Source organism: Homo sapiens, chromosome 11 (assembly GCF_000001405.40).
Source record: "Homo sapiens chromosome 11, GRCh38.p14 Primary Assembly".
Classification (NCBI taxonomy): domain Eukaryota; kingdom Metazoa; phylum Chordata; class Mammalia; order Primates; family Hominidae; genus Homo; species Homo sapiens.
The window spans coordinates 128,868,884-128,880,363 of record NC_000011.10 but is presented as its reverse complement, the minus strand read 5'-3'; the positions used below and the strand labels follow the sequence as shown (position 1 = coordinate 128,880,363).

Genomic DNA, 11,480 nt, shown 5'->3' with positions numbered 1-11,480 from the left:
AGACTGTAGTTCCGAGGAGGCTGCAGTCCCCCCATGAAAGCCAGGGAGAGCAGCACAACAAACACTTAGGTTTTTTTGTAGGATTAAACATAGTTTTGTATTTTTTTAAAGGGGTTTACAGGAGAAGATTATTAACCTGACCAAGAGCCAGGAGGCCAGGGCCAGTCTCCGCCCTCCTCTTCAGCTGCCTTCTCATGCTAACGTGATCTCATAAGATACCGTCCACCAGAGCGCTGTGGGAAGGGCCACACAATGAAGGTCGCTATGGTGACTGTCCCCTAAGCAAGACCAACAGCACTTTACAGAGCAGAGTCCCTGTTGGGATTCTCTTGCCTGCGGGCAGGTACAGCCCTGCATCCTAGTACCAAGCCTAGGCCAGGCCTTCTGTGCTGTCTGATCTCCAAAGAGCATCCCAGCCACCCAGCCCCTCTATTTCCACAGCCCCTGCGGCCCTCAGGGTCCCTGGAGACAGCTGTCTCTACCCGCAGGTTACAGCCGGGGAAGGCTCGGCGTGGCCTCCGCTGTGCATTGGTAGAGGACTCAGAACTGACACTGGAACTTCCTCGTTCCTGGCTATATTTGACTTTAGTATTACACATAATAATAATAGCAAGCAATGATATTTTATATAGTATTTAGAAGCTGCAGGGCACATTCACACAACGTTGTATATGGCAAATAGAATTTGTCCCTTTTTCCAATGAGAAAGCGAATACGCAGAGAGATTATATAACCATTCAAGGTCAGGCTGCTGTGACATAGCAAAGGCGGACCTCAAGCCCAGATTTGCCGATCCAAGTTCAGTGTTTTTCCTACTACCCAAGCTCCCTGAGGCTGTCACCCTGAAGTGTGGGGCCCTTATTCTAAAGCACGTTTCCTTCCCCTGAATGGAATCTTCATGACATAGCCCCCAAGGCACCGCAGGCTCAGAAAGAGTGCAGGGACCCTGGCCAAAAGGCCAGTGAGACCCGCTCTTTGGAAGTTCTAGGACATTCTGGAGAGGCCTGGGGTTTGCAGTTGGTCCCGTAGGCCCTGGGCATGCAAAAAAGACTGTCCCACGGCATCAGCTGTGGGTGGATCTTTGAGCAGCATGGTAGGGAGTGGGGCAGATCACATCATCTAATGTGGCTGAAGGGCGTTGACTTCAAGGTCTCTGCACTGCTTTGTCTTTGCAGAAGCTGACGACTTCCAGAGCCTGGGCGAAGGTGCATGCCGAGTGTCTATCTGTGCAAGGGGAATTTGCTACCTACCCACCCCTGCCCACTTCCCCCCAGCATTCAGTGAGCACAGGGGCTGACCAGCTGGGAATGTGTGAACCTGCTTGTTTTGACTTCAGATGTTACAGGGACATGTGTGAGGCAACTGGGGATCTGGAACAAAGTGAGATGCTGAAGTATGGAACCGTAGAAAGACACAGGCCAGTGTGGACCACAATGTAAAGCTTGGGATCTCCCTTGAGCCCCTGGCTTTAGCTTGCCAAAGGGCCCCGGCATGGTTCTCTGGCCTCACTCCCTGCCAACTCCCCAGCCCAGATTTCCTTTCTCCACAGAGGAATGTGAGAAGCAGGGCCATCACCATCTGTTGCTTCTCTTGTCAGAGGTTCCAGCTTGAACTGCCTGCTCTGTGGGAATCTGACAGGTCTGGGCATGACTGAGGGGGTGGTGGGTGGTCCTCCCAGGGTCTACTGGCTGCCAGAGGAATTGTAGCCTCCAGTGAAGATCATCAGCCAGACCATCATAACCTGGTAACACCGTGGGTCTTCAGAGAGGAGGCGGAGAGGGTGGGTTATACACACAGTATAGGGGCCACTCAGCTTTGTCCTCAGCCCAACCCCCTGCAGATGTGGGTCTTGGTGTCTCTCCAGAAACAGAATGAAAGGTACCTCCCCTGCTCACTCTGCCAGAGATGGCACAGTACAGGCCTCCTGTGTGTTCTGGCAGCCCTGTGGAAGGCGCAGTGGGCTCTGTGGATCTGACACCTTGAGCACCTCATGCCTTGATCTTGAGTACGTGTGAGACCCCAGAGGGCACCTCTTGGAAAAGACTTTCTTGGGTCAGGGTGGTGACACTTTGCAGGGGAACAGGCATCCTGGACTAGCAGGTTGGGTGAGGCAAAGAAAAGGGAAGACACAATTTTAGTCATCCTTCATTCATTCTTTGGACAGGCATCACTCTTGGGAGCTCTGGAGTGTGAGGATCTTTGGGAGATACAATGTTGACTCGGAGGAGGTCCCTACTCTCCTCCTAGGACTTCAAGCCAGTAAAGGAGAAAGCCATGATCACAGATAAAAGCAACCTGAGAAGTAGCAACAAAGTCCTGCAAGAGTGCGAGAGTTAGGGGAGGAGGGCGTGACCGCTGACTTGGGGGTTGGAAGCCTTCATGGAGAAGGCTTTGGGAGGCTGCTGTCTCCCCTCTGCTTGCTGGGGACAGAGGTCAGGAAAGCAGTGAGGCCACATCTTCAGAATGAAAAGTAGAATTTCTGTGGTGAAGCCACCGTGGGGCTCTTGGCCTGTCTTCCTGCCCTATTTGTATTCATCAATCCAGCCTACCAGACAGCCATCTCTGCCACAGTGCTCAGACGACCTATATACACACCAGCCTTTCCCAGAGATTTATTTTTATATATTTACTCTTTAAGCTTCTAGTAAGTTGCCCACATTTTTTTTGGTAGACCTTATCAGGTTTTTTTTTTTTCCAAATGTGTCAAAAAGGAGAGAAATGTAAAAGGAAAAAAAAAAAGAGGAGGCACTCTCCAACCTGCCCTTGTGATTTCACCACCAAGCCCAGGCACTGGGGTGGAGACATTTTAGGTCTTCCCTGAGGTTTGCCAAGTTCCTCACCCCAATTCTTGAATGTTCGAAGACTGAGAGAGAGTATTTTGTCTTTATGATCTGCTTAGTATTTATGCTTCCATTGCACAGTGGAGGTGGAGTCTGGGATCTGAGCCCTGGTTCTCTATCTATCATCCGTGTTCTCTTGTGCAAGTTAACTGCCAACAAGCCATGAAGGTGCAGGCTGGGAGACACATGGGTTCTTTTTTTTTTTTTAGATGGAGTTTCACTTTTGTTGCCTTGTTGCCCAAGCTGGAGGGCAATGGCACCATCTCGGTCACTGCAACCTCCGCCTCCCGGTTCAAATGATTCTCCTGCCTCAGCCTCCTGATGTACGGGTTCTTTAGCACTTGTAAATGAAACAAGTCACTTCTAGCTCAATACAAATCACCCTATGAATTCTAAGGGGCATTAATAGGAGCATGATGTCTAGAATGAAGGAGGTGATGGTCCTATTTCACTGGAGCAGGTGGGAGCGCACCTCCAGAGGGCTGGGCCCCGAGGGCTAGGTGTGAAGAAGGTTCTTGCAGGCTGGAGTGTTTGGGCGGATGTTGTTGAGGCAGAAAGCACAGGAAATATGGGCAGGCCAGAGGTGACTTCTAAATTCCCTTCCAATGCAGGGAGTTTGTGAATCTATGAACCTTTCTTTTTCATTCCAGGAAGCAGCTGCTTGGGGAGTGGAGGTCCAAGGCTTTTCAGATTGCTGGTGTGGTACCTAGCTATGGAAACTACTGAGCAGTCAGGTTCACAGAGTTAGTGCTTGAGTGCAGCCTTGACCCCTGGTCTCACCACCGACAACACCAGGACCCCTTTAGGATGGGTGTTCAAGGCCCTCCAGGAGCACCTCTTGCTAAACCTCTGCTGCCTCATGCCTAAATACCTCTCTGCCTCCCTCACAGGCAAAAGAGATCCAGACGATAGAGTAACATCAAAGGTTCTGTGAACTGCAGGTGAACAGACGATCATCTTCACCTACGGGGCTCATCGCCGTTTCATTCCTGTGCTTCTCGGGAGGAAAGTTACCGCGGAGCAGCCCCTCAGCAGAGGAATCCGTGGTGGAAACCCAAGCGTCCTGGCTGCAGTCTCCTGGGAACTGGAGTGTGAATGCTTTCCTTCTGACGGCAGACAGCTGAGAACCTGCAGGGTTAAAAGTGCACAGTCCGGGAAGGTTCTGTTCCCAGGACAGCGCTATCGAGTCCACTGGGCGCTCCACGCGGTCTACCTAAAGGGAACAGCCTGCGGCGTCGGCACCCTATTCATCTCTAAGGGTGGGGAGATGGAAAAATACCGTGCTGCTTAGCATTGATGAAGCGCTTGCTTCAGGGAAACTGACTAGAATCTATTTAGTCTCCAGAGCATTTCTGAGAGGCAAGCAGGCCTCAGGGCACTGCAGAGGGACCACATCTTTTTCTAGAAAGCCTGGGAGAGAGCAGAATGAGGCCAAGCCTGAGGGCTTCTGGCTCCTTCTCTTCCTTGTGTAATGCCCTTTCTGACTGGTGTGAGTGTCAGGGCTCCGTGAATAACCTACTATGTGTCTCTGGGTGTGAAGTTTGGGCTATGGGATGTGTCTGCACAATATCCTAGAGAAGGAAACATTTTGTATCTGTCAAAAACCTACTAGGGATGTCAAAATATGAAACAATATTTGTAAATATGAAATTCTGGGGAAAACGTGGCAAAACTCCTCAAGATTGACAATAAGAAACAAAGAGAAGTGGTGAGCTTCCTCCTACAGAAAGGCCCCTGGCTCCTGCATTCCAAGAGCTGGTCCCTGCCCCAGAAGGAGGCCACAGGGCCTGTGTGGAGGGGTCTCCACAGTTAGGGAAGGATGAAAGGTCACCCTCCCCAGCACAGCAGATCCTGCCACCTTGTTCCCACCTGCCCTTCTGCCTTGTCTGCCAGCACATCTTCTTTTAAGCCCGGCTTTCTCCCCTTTACTCTCTGGCCTCCATGCTGCTTCTCCTTCCTCTACTCCCCACCTTCCATGACCACCTGCTGTAATTTTAATCTTTCTATAGTGTCCAGTCCAACAGCACCTTCTCTGTGAAGCTTCTCCAATTTTCCCAGCTGGACAGAACTTCTGTATATTCATAACCCTTCCTATGCATTTGTGCCTTATTATGTTTGTGACTGTCTTCTCTTCTATAAGAGATTCAACTCTTAAAGGGCAAGAGCCATGTTTTGTTTATCGTTGCAACTCCTAAAGTGCCTAGCATGCTGCCTTTTATTTAGTAAGGCCCTCAAAAAGCTTTGGATGAATTAAATGGAATCATCCAAATTTTCCCTGCATTCAATTCGATTTCTTTTTCAAAAAAAGGTCTTCAACCTGGAATTTCTCACTGAGTGAGATGCTTTCATCTGCAGTGGCAGGCAAGGTTTCAGAGGGAAAGCATTTTTATCTCTTGCATGTGGCTTTCTCAAAACCTTTCCCTTGTGAGAATATATAGCAATGTTCTTTCCTTCTTGTCATCTCAGTGGATTATCCAGTTCTCCTCTGTCACAAACACATTTGGATTTTACCATCACTCTTTCACCAGACAGGAGCTTTCAAGAAAATGAGGCCTCAAAGGTAGAAGAGCCTCTTCCAGCAGAGTCCCTCTGTCCTGTTCCATTTAGGAGCTGGAGGGCCTGTTAGGTGATGTGCCTTGCTACCAGTGGTGTCATCTGCATGGCTGCCCTTCCTCAATCAAAGAAGGGCATTCACAGGTCAGAATCTGTAGAGAGCAGTGGCCTGGGATGCCTTATGTATGGATGGGAAACAGCTTGTAGATTTGTGGCTGCATGAAGCAAAGATGCAACTCAGTCTCATTGTGTTTGAATACATGTCAGTGAGCTAGTTTTGCAAAACCCATGAGGCTGTGGTGATGAAGTCATGTATCAATGAGACTCGCCAGTGGACACTGCTTGGCTCTTCCTGTCTGACTCTTGCAGCTGCCAAGCATGTTTTCCACATCACTAAACAAGACCACCCCTCCCTTGGAGCTGGAGTCAAGGAGAGGAAATACTATCCACCAGAAAAAAATCACAACCACACCGTCCAACTATGAGCATTAGTCTTGGAGCTGCATTTCTGAAAAAAGTTCTCTGCCCTCAGCGAAATTTTTAGAGGGGCTTGTGGGAGAAAATAGGGGGAGATGCCAAAATGCAGATGATGGTGACAGTTGTACGCAGAGGATTCATCCCTTTCCCCCTACCCAAAAGTGGATGCTGGGAGAAGATACCCCCGAGTCACTCAGTGCTAGTTACTGTGCCATTCTTACTTGGGGTGTGTTGGGGTGTGGGGGGATGGCTACCACTCCCAGGGCTCCAGGAGCTGTGGTTCAGGTGAGCAACTGTGGTTCAGGGCAAATCAGATGCTCCTTCTGAATGGCATGGAGACCCATGGTCAGGGCAAGGCATAGAGATCCACCATCAGGGCGTTTGCTTCGTCTTGCCCCATTTCATTGTAAATTATTCAAAGATAAAAGGGACTGTGCCTTTAAAATTTATTTTTGTTAAAGTAATCTACATATAATGTTTAAAAAGGCTCTTGTTCACATTATCCCCTCTATATTCCTCTCCACACTCCCATGTAGCTAGATCAGAAATTTTATTAGATCAATACTCAATGTTGCATTCTGATAACTCTAATATTGTTCACAGCTCAACCAAGTTAGGGTATTATAAGTACATTTTCTCTCCTTTATAGTTGCTTGCATTTAGTGGAGTTAACAATGTTCTCCTTTTCTTATTTACATAGTTCTCTATATGTCTATCACTGATTCATCCTGAAAATCCCCTTCAGAACCATAAACACCCTCTTAACACATGTGGGCAACTCAGTCTGTCCCATTTTCCTGAGAGGTGGCCACCCCTCGGTGCTGGCTATTCTCAGGGCCAGCTGGGCAGATGTCCTGCAGGGTGGTCCTTCACCATCACCCAGGCAAGACTCTTTGCTTCTTGCCCGTGCAGGAGCCCCTGTGTCTGGGATTTCCTGTGTCCCATTATCTGGGATTCTTCCCTTTCTTTGGTGGCTGCATCTTCTAGTCATGTCCTAGGAAATGGTGTGGAAGAGGTAATTTGAACCTTGTGTATCTGAAATGGTCTTTATTCCACCTGCACATTTAATTGAGGGTTAGGCTAGGTATAGAATTATTTTCCCTCAACATTTCAATTTGAAAATACTCCACTGTTTTTCGTAGCATCCTGTGTGGCTTTGGGGATTCAAGTGCCCTTTTGGTGAACAATTGTTCATAATCATTGATGTGCAGTATATTTCTCTTGCTTTATCTCCAATGTTTTGAAGTTTCATGAGATTGCCTTGATGTGGTTTACATTTTTTGTTTGGGGTTCTTAGTGGGCTCTTTGAATTTGGAATCTTGTGGCCTTTCATTCTGAGAAACTAAAAAATGTATATATATCATTCTTCCATAATTTATCCCCTCTATTTTTTCAGTTCTTTCTTTCTGGAACTTGTAGTATTAGTCTGGGTCCTCCAGGAAGGAGATGCCAGGACAGGATGAAACATGAGAGGATTTTGTTAAGGGAGATGGTGGTGAGAGAGTGTGGGGAGGAATCTAAGGGAGGCTGGGGGCTGGGGCAGCAAGTCTGACCCCTGCGAAAGAGAGAGGGAGGGAGGGTTGGAGGGTGCACCTCGTAGGGGACAGCTGTCACGGAGCTGAAGCCCCATCAGAGAGCCTACCTCTTCCAAGAACTGGCCTGCCTTGGTGCTCTGCCTCACTCAGTGACTAGGAGCAGCCCACAGACTGTGTGCTTGGAGCAGAGGCTGTGGAGGGCCTCAGCAGCTGCAGCTGCAAGTTGGCCAGGTACATTCTCATGGCTGCCACCTCCTATCATCCTGTGATTGCTGACTCTCCTGCATGGATTCTATCCTTTCCTTATCTTTTCTCTCCTATTATTGTTCCTTAACAAAAACTATTGGGAGATTTTCTTAGCTTTGTTTTCAGATCATTTTATCTGCTCTAATATTTAAATTTCCAAGTGCTCTTTCTTGTTCTTGGAGTCTTTTTTTCTAGCGTCTTGTTTGACATCTATAATATCGTCTTTTCTCTCTGAAGGTAGGTAAGGGTTTTAGACATTTATTTTGCCCCCTGCTAGGCCTCTACTTACTCCAGGTTTCCTTTCTCTGTTTGCCTTGACCTTTCTTTTTCATGTTAAAGCCTTTCCTCAAATGTCTGATTACCCTTGGCTGCCCGTCATTTAAGAAAGCGCCACTAGTCAGCTCATCGGAAGCTGTGAGGGAGAGGGCTGCATTTGGTCCTGCCAGGTGGAGGAACACTCAGGCATCAGTACTAGGAGGTCTTTCCTCTCAGCCCATTGGATTTCCCTAGAGTCCTACACGGCTGGGATGAGGCACCTGGGTGCTGAGTAGAGGAAGGGAGTCATGGGTCAGTCACCCTGTATGCAGATTTTCACACAACCCCCTCTCTCCAGGACACGCCTCGCCCCCCACCCTAAGTAATGCAGAACCCAAATCCACACCCTTCCTGGGTTTCTCCAGAGTCAACCTCAAACCCTAGGCTGGGGAGTCTGTTTCCTATAGGCACTTTCAACCAGTGATCCTGTTTTCAGCCCCACACATCAGCTCTTCTTTCAGAGGCACCTGGCCCCTCTGTTGTGTGAATGGGAATGTGCTGCCTTCCTCTAAATCAGACAAGCACCTGGAAAGGCTTTTTGTTTATCTGAATGACTCCTGTTGGAATATTAGTCATGAATAGGATAATATGTTTCAAATGTTCCAAACTTCTTTAAGAGAAAGAGAAAACCGTCTGTTGACTCTGGTCTTCACTCAGGTCCAGCGGCGGGATGCTCCAGGTCCAGTCTGAGGAGTAAATGCTGGGCGTGTAACCTCATCAGTGTTGGGAACCTGGTGAGGCTACACAGCACAGAGGGGCCGGACTGCATCAGGGAAAGAGGAGTTGGGCTGTCTTCTCATTGTCACACACAATCCCACCATGGAGGACTCAGGCTGTCTCATGGCTACAGAGGTAGTGAAGCAGTTGCCAGGCGCCACAGCAGGAACGGAATTTCTCCGTGAAGACAGTGGTAAGGCGGAAGGACTGAGAGTGCATCCCGCTGGGGTACTGGAAGGTGTAGGATTCCATCAGGGCAAACGCTATCATTTGTGCTTTAAGACTAGGATTTGTGGAACAGGGAGAATGCATCCCCTGCCCTCCCTGTTGCTTAGCAACAGTCCTCTTTCTCATTCCCAGCAGGTCCAAAAGGGCCCAGTTTTGAAGATTGGGGGCAAGGAGTGGGGGATGAAGGTAAGATAACTCCCTGGTCTGCATAATAATGAGACATTCTGGCTCCATTGTGCAAAAGGTACCTGCCTTGCAAATGAATGAAGTAGTTAAAAAACACTTCTCCCTGTTTGGGGTTTATTCTGTGAGGATGAATGCTTACCTGGGGGAGACACATGTTTCTCTGTATGTGTTTGTATTTCCACAGCTGTCTGCTGGATCACAAGAGTCAAAGACACGCCTTCAGCCCACACAGGTGGGGAGGCTCAGAATGCCTGCCCCCTAGGGCCTCCACGCTGGACATTGGGTCAGGGAAGCCCCCTTTCCTGAGTTGTTCTGTGGGACTCCAAAGGGCCTCCTGCCAAGCTCTCTGACAGTTCACATCCCATCTGAAGAGCCTCATGCACCAGTCCAGGGCCTCTGAGAAGCAGATGCCAAGAGGGGATTAAAAATGCCAAGATTTTGTTGGAGGAGATGCCCAGGTGAGGAAAGTCAGAGGGAGGCTGTCTGAGGAGTTTTCAGACCAGGACTCAGGGCAGACCCTGAGGGGAGGAGGGAGAGCAGGTTGGGAGGATGCATCCTAGACTGCCATGGAGTCTAAGGAAGATTCCACGGCCGTGCAAGAGTGCTCCAGCCAAAGGCACCCTTGGAGGAGCCCACCTCTCCCGGGGACTGCCTCCCTTCATGTCCTCCTGTGCTCAGTCCCTTCAGAGTGCAGCCCCTTTGGCCTTGGACACTTCCTCTCCCTGCGTTTCGTTGGGCTGCAGGGCGTGTTCTCCTGGCCTCCACACCCAGGCCTGCTCAGGGGTAGGGTTGGGTGAACCTGAGGCTTGGGAATATCCCACTGGGGGGATTGGGAGGCCTGCAAAGGTAGGTAGAGGGCCACGCAGTGAGGGGTGCAGAAGGGAGGGCCTGTGGACAGAGGGGGTGAACCCAAGGACGGCAAGCAGCAGCAGGGACAGGCGTGACCACAGGAGGCCACCTGTGAAGGGAGAAGGCCAGATTTAGCAGGAGCGTGGACTCCCCGCCTGTTGCTCTTTCCCCCACCATGTTGTAGCTCCTTAGTGTGGGTCTCCTCCCACCTCACTTCGCATGGGAACCCTTCTGCAAGTGGCTTCACTTACACCTGTGTCTTGTTCTGTCTGGGCTGCTGTAACAAAATATCTGAGGCTGGGTAATTTATAAACCACAGAGAGTTATGGAGGCTGGAAGTCCAAGACCAAGGCACAGGCAGGTTTGATGTCTGCTGAGGCCTTGACCACTGCATCACATGGTGGAAGGCAGACGGGCAGAAAGAGGACAAACACTGTGTCCTCACAGCAGAAGAGAATGAACCTCCTCCCTCGAGCCCTTTGATAAGGGCCCTAACCCCATCTGGAAGGGCTCTACCTGATGACTTAATCACCTCCTAAAGGCCCTGCCTCTTAAAACTATCTCATGGGGATTATGTTTCAATATATAAATTTTGTGAGACACATTCAGACCATAGCAACCTACTATGTTCTTTTTCCTTATCTGTAATGACTGGTTATGCTTATAAATGTTTGAAAGCAAAAGTGCCTTTTCCGTGAAATTTTGCATCTGTTTCCATTTTATCCCTTCTCTGAGCATCATGGAGACTCAGCTGTCCTGCCCCGGGGACTGGTGTCAGGAACCTGGTGTATGGTCTCCAAGCTACGCTGCTGCTCTGATGCTTCTCATCTCTTTGACTCTTGAGCTGAGGTTGATCCCTCCTACAATCTTGTGTGGTGTTGAGTGGAGGAGGGGACAGGCAGTGAAGGGGCATGTGGCCAGCCCACAGTCACCCACTCTTGCTTCTTGCGAACCCAATCAATGCTTCAAGTGATTACCAGCTGTGAAGTGTGAGGAACAGTGGGAAGAGAGCAACTCAGGAGGGGTGTGGGGTAAGGACTCCTCTCCCTCAGTCTCCTAGTGGGAGATGGCCCTAGGGGGTGGGCTGAGGAGGAAGACAGAAGGCTGACACTCGGAGTAGGTTGGATTTCAACCCTGTTCATTCAATGACAAGTGTATTACATATGCTATCTCTTGAGCTTCCCACTGTAGACTTCTGAGGTGAGAAGCTAGGTAACTTGCAGTTGGTAGAGCAGGGTCTCAACCCCACCACTGAAGTGCAAAGTCTGTGATGTAAAGTTCTGCATTGCCCCGGGACCAGGGTGGCTGGTGAATGGCCAAGAGAAAGTCAGGTCAGCCTGACCTTCTAGGGCAGGAGTCCCCACACCTGGTCTGTGGCCTGCTAGGAACCAGGCTGCACAGAAGGAGGTGAGTGGTAGGTGAGCAAAGCTTCATTTGTATTTTGACCACTCCCTATGGCTCACATTACTGCCTGAGCTCCGCTTCCTGTCAGATCAGCAGCGGCATTACATTCTCACAGGATCCTGAACCCTTT

The 11,480-nt window shown here is 49.6% G+C and overlaps 2 annotated features.

Moving 5' to 3' along the window:
* Nucleotides 7,722-8,317: an enhancer, noted in NCBI's record as "NANOG hESC enhancer chr11:128741942-128742537 (GRCh37/hg19 assembly coordinates)". NCBI's record gives its function as "activates a minimal SCP1, AML or CMV promoter by ChIP-STARR-seq in naive H9 embryonic stem cells {active_cell/tissue: H9 hESC(naive)}" and the evidence as "EXISTENCE:reporter gene assay evidence [ECO:0000049][PMID:30033119]".
* Nucleotides 8,767-9,529: an enhancer, noted in NCBI's record as "NANOG-H3K27ac-H3K4me1 hESC enhancer chr11:128740730-128741492 (GRCh37/hg19 assembly coordinates)". NCBI's record gives its function as "activates a minimal SCP1, AML or CMV promoter by ChIP-STARR-seq in naive H9 embryonic stem cells {active_cell/tissue: H9 hESC(naive)}" and the evidence as "EXISTENCE:reporter gene assay evidence [ECO:0000049][PMID:30033119]".